Source organism: Homo sapiens, chromosome 15 (genome assembly GCF_000001405.40).
Source record: "Homo sapiens chromosome 15, GRCh38.p14 Primary Assembly".
Classification (NCBI taxonomy): domain Eukaryota; kingdom Metazoa; phylum Chordata; class Mammalia; order Primates; family Hominidae; genus Homo; species Homo sapiens.
In genome coordinates, this window is record NC_000015.10 from 80741568 (window position 1) to 80755853 (window position 14286).

A 14286-nucleotide genomic window follows, 5' to 3' on the forward strand; every position below is an offset into this window, starting at 1 on the left:
GCAGTTGTCTCTTTTCTTATTAAGTTGAGAACTTCCTATTCACTTAAAGGAAGCCCTGTACGTGCAGCAAAATTAGCACAATTTTTTTTTCTTCGTAATCTCACAGGTAGAAGATTTGTTCTTATTGTAGATCTTACCAACTTCAGCAGCAGTTGTCTGTTTTCTTATTAAGTTGGGAACTTCCTTTTCACTTAAAGGAAGCATGTTGCAACTTCTCTTTGGCATATTCGAATTGTCAGCATCGCCTCTCTTGTGCTTTGGAGCCCCCGTGAAGTAAAATAAGGGTTACTTGAACACAAGTCTACAATACTATGACAATTGATCTGATAACCCAGCCAGCTACTAAGTGACTAATGGGCAGGTAGTGTAGACTCTGTATGCTGGACAAAGGGAGGGTTCACATCCCAGGTGGGACGGAGTGGGACAATGTGAGATTTCATCATGCTGCTCAGAATTAGGAATTGTTTATTTCTGGAATTTTCTATGTAATATTTTCAGACTGCAGTTGAGCTGTAGGTAATTGAAACCGTGAAAAGCAAAACCATGAATCTGGTGGGGGGACTCTACTGTATATACATATATAAGAGGAGATTTTTTTTATGGGAGTTGCCTCACGTGATTATGGAGGCCAAGTCCATGATCTCCCATCTGCAAGCTGGAGACCCAGGAAAGGCTGTGATGTAATTCATCCCAGTCCAAAGGCCTGAGGACCAGGAGGAGCTGATGGTGCTGCATTCCCACTTGGAGGCCAAAGGCCTGAGAATCTTGCCGGGGGGTGAAAGTGGGCAGGGGAAGGATACAAGTGTATGTCCTGAAGTCTGAAGGTCTTAGAACCAGGAGTTCCAGTGTCCAAGGGCAGGAGATCGATGTCCCAGCTCAAGAAGAGAGAGATAATTTTCCTGTTGTCCACCTTTTTGTTCTATCTGGGCCCTCAATGGATTAGATGATGCTTTCTTTACCCAGTCTACTGATTTAATACTAGTCTCTTCCAGAAGCACCCTCACAGACACACCCAGAAATAATGTTTTACCAGATGTCTGGGCATCCCTTATCCCAATCTAGTTGATACGTAAAATTAGCCATCAGGCCAGCATAGAGCTGCTAGTTGAAGTCCTGGGGTTAAATGAGATTGTAGGAGAGAAAATATAAGAGTGTGATAGTAAGACTAGAGCTTGGGGAAGATGAGCCAGTGAAGTAGGCCAGGCCCATTTGTGGCAGGGGCAGGAGGAGGAACCAAGAGTGACTCCGGGTCTCAGAGGCCTAGGAATGGAATTTAAGAAGGAAGGCATCGTTCTTAATGTGAACTGCCAAGGAGAAGTTGAACTGGATGAGAAGTGAGAAAAAGTGGTTGGGTTTGGTACTTCTGATAGCTGTTTGCAAGACTTCATAGGGGCAGAAGGCAGGTTTCAGAGGGCTTAGGGTTGAGTGGGTGGGAGGGTGGGGTGGTGGGGAAATGGAGGTAAGAGATGGGGCTGTGGCCTCAAGCACAGAGTGCTGATGAAAACAGGTCCTTTCTTAGATTCAGAGACTTGGATATATCTGTGGCATTGAGAGAATAAAGATTGAAATTTTACAGGGGCGGGGAGGAGATTCTTCAAGTTCTGGGAGGGGTAAGAATCTGGCGCTCAAGTGGAAGGTTAACCCTTGTTAAGAACCAACATGTCTTCAACAATGCCAGGGAGCAGGGGCAAATGGGCAGGGGAAGGAGAATGGTCTGGCCTGGTGTAGTCTGTGGAGGAGTGCCCCCAAGGCCTCTAGATCCGCACTCACCCACTACCGGCTGTGTATGTGTACTTAGGGAGCAGGAATGTTTACTTTTAAAATGCTGCCTTAGGGATAGAAAGCGCTGTGTGTAGGCCCTGCTGCGGTTCCTGTCCTCCCTGCGTCTTTCCCACAAAGGTCATGCTGACTAGCAGGAATCATTTTTAACCTTTTCCCATTGTGATACTCCCCAAAATAGCAAATCATAATTAAAAATGCTAAAAATCCTGCATGAATACATCTTTTTGTTTTATTTTGTTTTGTTTTTTTGGAGACAAGGTCTCACTCCCATCGCCCAGACTGGAGTGCAGTGGTGTGATCTCAGCCCACTGCAGCCTCAACTTCATGAGCTCAGGTGATCCTCCCACCTCAGCCTCCCTAGTAGCAGGGACGCTACTAGGCGCACAGCACCATGCCCAACTAATTTTTTGTATTTTTAGTAGAGATAAGGTTTCACTTTGTTGTCCAGGCTGGCCTCAAGGAGTTCGCACTCCTCGGCCTCAGAAAGTGCTAGGATTACAGGCGTGAGCCACCGTGCCTGGCTATGAATACATCTTCTGTGTCGCCTATATTGTTTCTGGCTGCTCCAAAAATACTGCCTTGTTCCAGACTGGTAGGGTTTAACTTCTGTTTTATTCTAAAATAAAGGCTTTAGACTTTGGAACTGTTAATGTTTTTTGAGAAAATACTTTTCACTTGATCCTGTTATGTTTTTTCTAAAGCTATGATGTTAAACTGACCTATGTTTCACACAAACTTAATTCATTGTCTCTTTTTTCCCCCCTCTGTCTTTTATGTAATTTAATCTGAGAACTAAAGGGGCCTTAGGCTGTAGTCCAACTCTTTTTGCCCAATGTCAGTCAGTATTTAGTTTGAAGAATCCGCACACCCACTGAATCAGAATTAATAAGTGTAGATAGAGCCAGGGAGTTTACATGAAAAATAAATACATAATAATAATTTCCCAAGTAATTCAGATACTTCTCATTTTGGAACCATTGGCATAGAGGTCACTAGTCTAATACTTTGATAGAAAAAAAAAATCCTAGTACTACAGTAAAAAGAGTTGTCCTCACCTGCTAAAACCGGGTGTTAGAACAGAGGCCTCTTACTGTTCTACTAAAAATCCTGATACTTTCACAGAATTATCTACCTCCTTGGTTCCTCATTTATTGTCCAACAGTATAGTAAAGACAGGAAAAAGCAATGGCAAAGTCCTTAACACAGTGCTAACAAATCTGAGCGTTTGACTTAGCACGCTCTTGTTTTCTGAGCCCTTTGAAAAACGCTGGCAGTTCGCAGCATGCCTACTGACTCTACACAAAAAGGACTAGCGATACTGCTTCCCTTTTTTCCCAACAAGTCACTGCCTAATAACTAAAGGAAATTAGGAATGAAAATTTGAAAGAAGAAAAGCTACTCAGTCTCACCACCTGAAGACAACAGTTATTACCATTTTCATGTATTGCTTTCAAGTCCCTTTTCCATGTAAAGATTTCTCTTTAGAAATGTAATTGTGGCCCTGTTTTTGTAAGCTCCTTTTCATTGCTTTTTGTTAAAATTAACATGAGTGTTTCCCCACGTTGATTCTTTATGAGACATCATTTTTAATGGTCTGATGTTGCCTCATGAGGTTTATTTTTAGCACAAAATCTACCATGAGTTGTCACAGTTTTGTGAGGGCTGTCTCCATATCTGAAGTATCTGGTGAGCTTTTAAAGAATTTTTTTGTCATGAAATATAACTGCCATACATAAAAGTTCATAAAATACAGATGTCCAGCTTAATGACTTATAAAAGGAACACTTGTGGTGTGACATAGACTATCCCCAGCATTTACAACCCCCAGGAAGGACATCCTTCTCTCCAGTGATGACCCTTTCCCTTTTTGCCTGTAATCACTATCCTAACTTTAGTGATTCACTTCCTTGCTTTTCTTTATAGGCTTACCACCCAATTAAATATCCCTAAACAATGATGTTTAATTTTGGTAGGTTTAAGTTTTTGTAAATGGTGTCACATAATGTGTGTTCTGCTGTATCTGCCTCTTTTCCCTAACAGCATTTTTTTTTTTTTAAGAGGGTCACCCAGGCTGGAGTACAGTGGCATGAACACTGTTCACCTCGACCTCCTGGGCCCAAGTGATCCTCCCACCTCAGCCTCCCAAGTAGTTTGGACTACAGGGGACGCCACTTTGCCCAGCTAATTTTTTTTATTTTGTGGAGATGGTGTCTTGCTTTTTTGCTCAGGCTGGTCTCAAACTACTGGTCTCAAGTGATCTTCCCACCTTGGCCTTCCAAAGCGCTGGGATTACAGGCGTGAGCCATCGCGCCCAGCCTTAACAGCATGACTTTAAGATTCACTGGTGGTGACGGGTGCACCAAAATCTCAGAAATTACCACTAAAGAACTTACCCACGTAACCAAAAACCGCCTGTACCCCCAAAACTATTGAAATAAAAATATGAATCTTAGTGTCCATGTACATATTCTACAGCACAACCATACCACAGTTTCTTTATCCACTCTGCTGTTGATATACCTTAGGGCTGTCTCTGTGTAGACATGCACTCAGTCTAGTAGATATTTCTGGTATATGTAAGCACTTATTTGTGTGTTGAATTTATCTCGGAGTAGAATTGCTAGGTTCCTGGGTATGTGCTAATAAATCATGTCACTTAATATTGCCAAACTTTTTCTAAACTGATTCTATCAACATAAGTCCCCATCAACAGTGAATGAGCATTCTTGTACACATCCTTGCCAACACTTAATATTGTTAGGCTTTTGAATTTTTGTCAATCTGATAAATGTGTAGAGTATCACATGATTATTTTAATTTGCATTTTCCTTTTTACTAATGAAGTTGAATAACTCTTCTCTTTTTTTCTCTTTCTCTGTCTTTCCCTCCCCTCTTTTTTTCTTATTTTGTGAAATTCTATTTTTCTTGTTTAGTCAGTTGTCTTATTGATTTGTAGTAGTTATTTGTATATGCTAGATCTAGGCTCTGTGGCAAATATATTTTCCCACTTGGTGGCTTGTCCTTTCACTTTCTTATGGGTGTCTTCTGATGACCGGAAGTTCTTGATTTTAATGTAATACTTTCTGTCTTTTTTTTTTCTTTATGACTAGTGCTTTTTTGTGTTTTACCTGGTGACATTTTTCAGTGAAACTTTGAGTTGGTTGTCACGAAGGATGTGAGTCCATTGGAATCAAAGGTGGGCTTTGTAGACACTGGTACTGGGTGTGTCCTAGTGCTGAGAACCGAAGGCTAGGAACTGAGAATCCTCAAGCACAATAGCTCTAGCTTCTCCAGAAGGCATTTAAAGAAGGTCATGATCTCTGAGGATGGCTGGTCCAGGACATTGGCAGGAGAAAGAGCTGCCTGCCTGATGGCCAGGGCGCTTCCCTCTGCCTTGTCTCCTGGGCTGTGCCTCTTGGGTCGGTGCCTGTTCCTTCCTTTATTCAGTGCAACCTCTGAGCTTATAAAGTCCCATGGCGTGTTATATAGAAGACAGGATTTTGAAAACATATGTTGGACTCGTCATAAGAAGTAAAATGAACACTTCCTCATAACTATGATAATGTTATCCTATATAATCCTCTCAGACCAGATTTTATCAAAGAAGGTGAGGGCTAGTCTGGTTGCCATTTTTACCTGGAAGTCTTTTACTTTATTTTTGATATTCAGTATTAATCATCTCTTAATCTTCTGTGCGTCATTCATTAACTGCCTTCAGTTTTCACTTCTCTCCTCCTCTTATATTTTCTTTGATTTATGATTTTTAAAAATAATTGATAGGAAAATGAATGGCCTGTCCACAAGAGTGGTCATTGTGGAAAGAACTCATCCCCAAATGTGGAAATTGGAGGCTCTCTCTCTCCAGGTGCCTGCAGACTCCCTGTAATGCCACATCTCATGGTCCATATGCTTTTTGGGGTCGTAGACTGCTTTGAAAATCTGATGAAAATTGTGGAGGGAGGAGGAGACCCCTGATGTTATTTATGCTCTCCCCAAAGACTCCCTGGACTTGAGGTTAAGAACTCCTGCTGAAACGGCCCTCCCAGTCCGTGAAAGAAGGATCTTGGTGGCAGTTGCTGCTGGGGAGATCCCTGGGACAGCTTACCTTCAGCATTGAGACATGAGAACAGTGTTCCTTTCTAACCCCTCTCCCCATTTAGTCCTCGTGGAGGGTGCTTTGTGTTTGAAAATCCGTGGTCTCTGATGTGGATTTGGGCACAGGATGCTGCTGTATCAGTTGTTTCCTCAAACCTCCCCACCAAAACTGCCCATGCTGACCATTTTTTAGTAACCTGTTACGCCAACGGGAATGAAGCCCCAGGCAAGAACGCCAGGCAAAACCTGCATCTGGGGGCCTCTTCCATAGGCACAGTTTTATTGGATGGTGTCAAGTTGCAGGGCCACACAGACACTTCACTTTAGAAATGGAGGACGGATGCTGTTTTTGTTATAATCTTTTATTTCCTCTCTTCTGCATGATTCTTAATAGTCCCCTGCCGGATCTCCCAGCTTCCTTTTCATGCTGTCATCTCCTGCCTGCCATTGTCACCTCACCCTTGGACACTCCAGTGGCCGTCATCTCCAGGACAGCCCGTAACCCTTTAGCTTCCAATTCACGCTATCCTAGCACATCCCCTGCCGGCCGGCCCAGTGCTTTCCTGCTGCTGCATTGGGTATGCGTTGCACGTCTCCCATAGAAAGTCCTCACCTCCATGTGTTTAATTCCTGTCTCCATGGCACAGCCCAGGTGTGGTGCTCTCCATAAAGCATGTTCCAATGCCCTGAATTCTTTCTTTAGGGCCTCCATTCTTCCATGGAGTTTCGTGGAGCTTGGAGGGGAGGAAGTTGGGCTGAAATCCTGCCATTTCCATCAGCTGTGGATTGATAGTTCTTTTCACTGAACGCCGTTATCAGAAAGCATTTCATATTGTCCTGTAAGCTGCAATACGTATTTATTCCGAAAAGGAGAATTGTTGGCTCACGGGCTTCAACTTTTCCAGATAATGTTGAATTGTTTTCCCAAGTGCTTGTACTAATTTACAAAGTAACAGCGTTCCACTTTTCCATGTCCTTGCCGTCTTTCAACACTGTCTGGCTTCTTCATTTTTGCCTATCGTTTGGGTATAAAATAGTAACTCATGGATTTAATTTGCATCTTCATGTTCTAGTGAAATTATCACATCTTTCTATGTGTGTATTAGACATTCGTCTTCATTTCTTTCGCCTATTTGTCTTTTTCTTTTTCTTTTCTAAGCACTCTTTAGATATTCTGGACATCCTTTGTAGGATAATAAGAGAGCATGTATTTTCCCGGGTTCCTTCTATTTTGTTCCACCATCATATCTAGGGTGCCGCATCCTTCTGCATGGGCTGAGGTGGCTCACTGTGATCTACTTGCCACCACCAGGAAGGCGGAAGGCATGGGGAATGCACACCATTCACTTTAAAGCATGACCTGGAGGTTGCTCGTGTCACTTCTGCTGACATGCGGTTGGCTGGAACTTAGGTCTCTGCACGCACCAGGCTGCAAGGGAGGCTGGGAAATGAAGCCTGTATTCCACACAGCCCTTTACTTAACTAACAATTTGAAGAGAATGGATTGGAACCCACTGATGGATTGAAAGACTTGGAAGGGTTTAACCCTGAGGGAGACTAAAGAAAATATAATTGTCTTCAAACTAATTGTCTCCCAGTAAAACTTTTTCTGATAAATGTTAATATATTTTGTATCATGATAACTTTGCTTCGAGTTTTTAATATTGCAATTTGCCAAACTTGCTTTTGTTTTTACTTCAGAAGTGTGTTTATGATTAGCAAAGAAAATATAAAGGGGGAATAATAGGAAATGAGATGACCATCTTTGTAGCTACTGAAATGAAATTTATAAAGCATATATTTAATTAGCCAGAAAAATAATATCATGTTTATTGTTTTTTGCAAATGTTGTGGAAGGCAGAATCATAGTCACTTAGTACCAAAACAGGCCCCTAACAATTGTTTTTGTCAAGCTCACATTCATCTTAAACTAAAGTGTACAAGTTAGATGATATGGTTTTAAGCTGGTGGATGTGGGAATTTTATGGGTTTAAGAGGCGGGTTTCTCTGTCCCTTTCTCTCTTTCTTCATACCTTAGCTAATGGCATACAACCTCTGATTTCTCCAGGTATGGCGTGAGTCCCGAGAACATTATCCTCTATGGTCAGAGCATTGGGACTGTCCCCACGGTAGACTTGGCCTCGAGGTATGAATGCGCAGCGGTAATTCTCCATTCCCCTCTGATGTCTGGTTTGCGTGTGGCTTTTCCGGATACCAGGAAAACATACTGCTTTGATGCTTTCCCCAGGTAAGTTCATGCTTGTCCAACAAGTGGTAAGTCAGCCAATGACTGTGTTTATATCTGATGCTCCCATAAATATCTGTGTAAATATTTATTGAATGCAGCCATACGTCAGACCCTGTGCTGGGTGCCACAGGGCATGTGGGAGCAAATATGACACACACTGTCCAGAGATTTTATCCTCCCAGGCCTGACTCACTTGTGAAAATCTCCCAGATGATGTATAAGGACCTTGAGTATACTGACGCCTAGGGTTAATTGATTGAGCTCTAATATACAGGATTTTTAACAGCACCCATACATCCTAAAGGAACTTACAGTTCAGCACTCGCTCATTCATTCAGAGACACTTCTTGTTAAATCTTGAGCTGTATACAATATGTGTGATGGGGCAACTAGTGGTGTAGACACTCAAAAACTTCAAGCAAGCACAGTTTGGAAATTTCTCTTACTTTTTCAGTTGGACAGTACAGGTAAGGGAAAAGGTACCATGCTCAGTTAATCTTTGTAAATAGAAGAATAAAGGCAAAGTGAGTTACTCGACAAGCCAGGCTTTGATCTTCGGTAAATAGCCACAGGAATGGTATAAATGAACAAACTCACCTGCCACCCCCTATTCTGCTCTACCACTTTGACCGGAAGATCTCACCCCTGCAGAGGTGCCTGCATGAGGAAAGTATTTTTAATACAAAATATTTTGCCCCTTATGCTTTTCCCACAGTCCTTGCTGGAGGGGCCTAGGATTGTTACCCCAGGACTGGCCCAGCTCATGTTGCCATTTTATAAAAAAACCTCAGCAGAAAGAAGACACGGTTTTAGGGTTTTTGATTGACCCATTAATTGCTTTCATCCTGCTATTGCTGGAAAAAAAATAAAAGATCATCGTTTGGTTACATAAACATCTATTATACAGACTGTCTTATTTCACAGAAAGGAACCTTCTGTTAACACCTTGGGTGAACTTCAGTTTTGTGCAGTTTGTACCAGGATTCAATGAGATTCGGCTTCATGGGAAAGTTGCACTGCAGATTTATAGTGGCGTGGCTGGGAATGCTAAGTAGGGCTAATGTGCCTCTCAAATGTGGCCTTATTTGTGCTGAATTGGTAATGAGAGGCCAGTTTGCTGAAAGACGGATACTTAGCATGTTTGTGGGAAGCAATGCGGGGAGTTACCCTGGCAACAAAACTAATAGTTTTTTTTTTTTCCTGGCTCTTAAATTAGCATATACCTTAAAATACAGCCATCTCAACAAATTGCAAATGATTAACAACAAATTAGCAACTAATCTTATCTGAGTTTATCTGGTATGGCAGGTATCGGGCTATGCATTTCATGTTCATGGTCCCCCTTCATCTTTACAAGAGTCTTATGAAGTTTGTCAGCTGGGCGTGATTGCTCACGCCTGTAATCCCAGTACTTTGGGAGGCCAAGGAGGGTGGATTGCCAGAATTCAGGAGTTCAAAACCAGCCTGGGTAACATGGTGAAACCCCGTCTCTACTAAAAATACAAAAAAAAAAAATAATTAGACGAGCGTGGTGGTGCACACCTGTAATCCCAGCTACTGGGGAGGCTGAGGCATAAGAATTGCTTGAACCCAGGAGGCGGAGGTTGCAGTGAGCCGAGATCGCACCACTTCACTCCAGCCTAGGTGACAGAGCAAGATTCTGTCTCCAAAGGAAAAAAAAAAGATGTTTGTTCAATTACTGTGCTCATTTTACAGATGAGGAAATGAGAGGTTAAGTAATTTATTGAATTAAGGTCGGTAATTAGAGGACAGGCACAGTGGCTTACACCTGTAATGCCAGCACTTTTTGAGGCCAAGGCTGGAGTATCACTTGAGGCCAGGAGTACAAGACCAACCTGGGCAACACCACAGCAAGATCCTGTCACTACAGAAAAAGATTAACAAGTTAGCCAGCCATAGTGGTACACATCTGTAGTCCCAGCTCCTCAGGAGGCTGGGGTGGGAAGATTCCTTAAGCCCAGCTTTATCTCTTTGAGGTGGCAGTGAGCTAGGATTACACTATTGCACTCCAGCTTGGGCAACAGAGCAAGACCCTGTCTCTTAAAAAAATTTTTTAAAAGGCTGGTGATTGGAGACAACAAAGGAGACAAATCCTCATATTTAATGCCATAAATTATTAATATGATAGATTTCAAACCATTAATGGTTGCATTGACTTTCATCATGAATTTGAATTTGGTAAACATTTTCTTAATATGTCCGTTGTTGCCAGATGGCAGAATCATCTGTGTCCCTCTCCTTAAAGGAGGATACTTGCACATTTCCTTTTAATATTAAAACAAATTTAAACAAAAGGAAAAGGAATCCAGATTATTATTTCATTTATAGTTTATTTTCTTTTACCTCCTTTACACTTGGGATCGGATGATGGAAGTCAACTTTAAATACACCCTCCAGGCAGTAGAGATTCTCCTAAACTGTGCAGCGTGGAGCATAGTCCCAGGCCCATTGTAACTGTTGAGTAAATATCTTTTTAATTGTGTATAATTGAACTCTCTTAAAGGAAGTCACTTTAAAATTAAATATAGGGGGAAAGCAGGTTTCCAAATAAGATTTCTAAAGTGCATAATTGAATACTGCCACAGTGGCTCTGATGTTTGCAAATTACATGGCTGATGAGGTTTTGCAATCTTTCTGGGATGTCTTGAAGTGGTCCGCGGCTTCCTGAGTTTTTAATAAAGGCTAGATGACAGTTGTTTGTAGATCTTTGGAATGTGTAATTGATGTTAGAGCTCTTTATTATCTCCACGACCTCATTCCTGTTATTTAATAATCTCTCTGAGCTTCAGTTTCCTCCTTGATAAAACAGAGGTGGTCATTCCTCTCTCACTGTGTTTCATTAAATATTAAAAGAGATTTTGTGGGTTAAGTGCAAAGCACCCGGCTATGGTAAATGTTTAAAAAATGTTAGCTGTTACTTTTAACAAAAAGATTCCCACAAATAGTACTAATTGGTATCCTTTTGTAACTTCGACTAGGATCAAATATGGAAAGAGAAGTAAACTACAAGAGGCTCTTTGGCAGGACAGAATGGAGAGAGAGCCATTTCTCTTGATTTATTTGTGGATGAAATGACTGTTATCCCGATCAGAGAAGTCGCCTACACACCCAGCTCAACCAATGCTTAAAGTCTTTTGGATTCCTCTTTTGGATATGCTTTCAGAGCCTGAAGCATATTGTTTTAAAGATCCTCAAATATTCATCCTTTGAGAGTAGATTTGATTTTTGCAGAGAAGTCATTTGGAATAAAATCTAGGCATTACATTAAGTTTTCAAGCTAAATAGTACAGTTTTTATTTTTTAAAACAAGGCACTTGCTTTTATGAAATGGGGTGTGTATCTTTGAGTCAATTCTGATGGTAGCTTTCAGAATTCTGAAGACTTGAGTGGCAGCAAATTAAGTGTCCAGCTTTCCAAATAGACATTCATTTGATATGTTAAGTTCTGGCCCTTTTTAAAATTCTCTTGAAAAATAATATATAAATATAAAAAAATCTAAAAGTAATATAAAGATAATATATAAAAAATAGTAGTTGCTAGTTTGCTAGTCTGATGCTCTGAAGAGGTCTGTCTTTAATAAAATACTTCAACAAACACAACAGCCAATTGCAGTGTGGTATTCTTGTTTGGATCCTGGAACAGGAAAAGGACATTAGTGGAAAAACTAGTGAAATCCAAATAAAGTCTGGAGTTTAGTTCATAGTAATGCACCAACGTTGGTGTTTTAGTTTTGACAGATGTATCACGGTAATGTACAATGTTAACCTTACAGGAAATGGGTCAGGAGTATGTCAGGGCACTGTATTATCTTTTTGTTTTGTTTTCTTTTCTTTTCTTTTTTTTCTTGAGACAGAGTCTCACTCTGTTGCCCAGGCTGGAGTGCAGTGGCACGATCTCAGCTCACTGCAACCTCCCACTCCTAGTTCAAGCAATTCTCCTGCCTCGGTCTTCCGAGTAGCTGAGATTACAGGCATGCACCACCATGCCTGGCTGATTTTTGTATACACTGTATTATCTTTACACCTTTCCTGCAAATTCAAAATTATTCTAAAATGCAAAGTTGATTTAAGAAAAAAAACTAAATTACCAGAAAAAAATAAAGCAAGAAAAAGCCAAACTGTTATGATATGTTAATGTAGGTTCATCAAAGGTACTGCTGTGGTAGGGGATATTGATAATTGGGGAGACTGTGCATGTGTGGGGACAAGGAGGTATCTGGGAAATCTCTGTACCTTCCTCTCAGTTATGCTGTGAACCTAAAACTGCTTTAAAAGATAAAGTCCTTAATTTAAAAACAAAACAAAACAAACAAAAAAAACCCACGGTGTTATTTCCCTGCCTGTGGAGATTATTAACTTATCATTAAATGTGATGTGTATTATCTGTGAGCATAACTAATGGAGTCCTCTTTCTGCCTCCCCCCTTTCTGTTTTGCAGCATTGACAAGATATCTAAAGTCACCTCTCCTGTGTTGGTCATTCATGGTACAGAGGATGAGGTCATCGATTTCTCCCATGGCCTAGCGATGTACGAGCGCTGTCCCCGAGCCGTGGAGCCCCTTTGGGTTGAAGGGGCTGGGCATAATGACATAGAGCTTTATGCACAATACCTAGAAAGACTAAAACAGTTCATATCTCACGAACTTCCTAATTCCTGAAGACAACAACTTGATCTTACCTCATTTACTGTGAACAGAAGAGTCCTCTGTTTTGCACATGCTTTAACTGGGTAGCTGTAAAGGCTTGATAACCATGAAGAAGTGCCCAACCTTTAGGGTGTTCTAATCAAAGAGCTGATGAAATCTCAGTCTTTTGTATCTAGAGGTGGTTCTGCTAATTCACACAACACGTTAAACTGAACAGTCGTGATTCCCAGCTTCATTACCTTGCAGGAATGGGAATGAGAGCTGAATGTAGGGACAATTTTCTAGTGCTGTATAAAGTAGCCTCGCATCTGTTTCTCAACCTTATCCATCATTTCTGACATTCATGCAGGACTTGCCCTGTTGCCACCAATGTTCTCGGTATTTCACATGCAGCTCTCTTTCTGCCACTGGATACATGGGTTCAATCCATTTGTGAAGCTGTGATAGTGTAACTGGAAAGCTAGTGTGGTGAAAATTCCTTTATTATTTTTTGTTAACATGCTGATCTTTCCCGGACAAATGAACTGAAGGGTAATTTACTGGAACTCTCGTGTACAGCTTCATCAACTGTAACCATATAAATATAACTGGAATATTCTTAAACAAAAAGAAACTAGGGGTTTTTTTAAGTGTAAATTTATTACTAGCCAACAGAGTTTTACTATTTTGATTGTCTGGTTGGTTTAACAAAGAGCCTAGCTGACTTTCCTTCTGTAAAGTCCTCCTTGTAGGCTTTTTTAAAGTACTGTACATATTTGCAATCACATTGTGCATAGATTCTTAATGGTAGATATGATTTCTTTTGTCAGGCTACAACAATGAACTGCAGATTCCTTGTTTGTAATGTAAATGATTGAATACATTTTGTTAATATGTTTTTATTCCTATGTTTTGCTATTAAAAATTTTATAACATTTCCAAGACAAAAATTCCAAGTTTATGCTTTGAAGAATTTATGTAATTAAAATTTCACTAAACTAATCTTTTTAGTTTAGGAATTATTTGGGTTTTGACACTGGAAGTTGCGCCAAATAAGCATCAGAAATAGGAGATGCTTAACATTGCTATACTACTTGTGTTGGTTAGGGGTTTGGATTTGGGGGTTCTTTGGTTTTAATTTTTTTTTCCACATTTAAAAGCCTTAAATGTACTGTAAGCCTCAGATCGTTGTACAACTGGACTGCGGTTGATTGCCAGTTTGTGTACTGTTGCTTGGATGCGGCACAGTGGTTGGTAATGGAATAAAGGATGCATGGATCAGAATGTGTGGGCTTGTGCAGTTTTTTTCTTCATCTCTCCATCAAAGAAAATAGTGAATAAGAAAACAACTTTTTGTCGTAATGTAGGAAGAAAACCTTGAGGCTTTCAAACTGCACCATCTTTCTCAAGGTATATGGTTTTGTTCTATAAAAGGCCTTGGATTACTTTTGGAAGAAGCCAAGATATAAAGCATATAGCAGTAAAGTGCAGATGATATCTAAATAGAGGATGCAGT

General features: G+C 40.7%; 1 protein-coding gene across 1 annotated transcript in view, besides 1 other annotated feature; it reads left to right on the top strand.

Annotated features, from left to right (window-relative positions):
* The window catches only part of ABHD17C (abhydrolase domain containing 17C, depalmitoylase), a 60312-nt gene extending 46258 nt beyond the window's left edge, over positions 1 to 14054 (top strand). The window contains exons 2-3 of the mRNA NM_021214.2: positions 7946 to 8125; positions 12584 to 14054. Of these exons, the coding sequence (NP_067037.1) occupies positions 7946 to 8125; positions 12584 to 12803 (400 nt within the window). The 3' untranslated portion in view covers positions 12804 to 14054. The remainder of the gene's footprint in view (positions 1 to 7945; positions 8126 to 12583) is intronic.
* Positions 7489 to 8688: an enhancer, noted in NCBI's record as "BRD4-independent group 4 enhancer chr15:81041397-81042596 (GRCh37/hg19 assembly coordinates)". NCBI's record gives its function as "activates an origin of replication core promoter dependent on BRD2, P300/CBP, MED14 and CDK7 cofactors, and independent of BRD4, by STARR-seq in HCT116 cells {active_cell/tissue: HCT116}" and the evidence as "EXISTENCE:reporter gene assay evidence [ECO:0000049][PMID:35650434]".
* Positions 14055 to 14286: the final 232 nt, after the last annotated feature.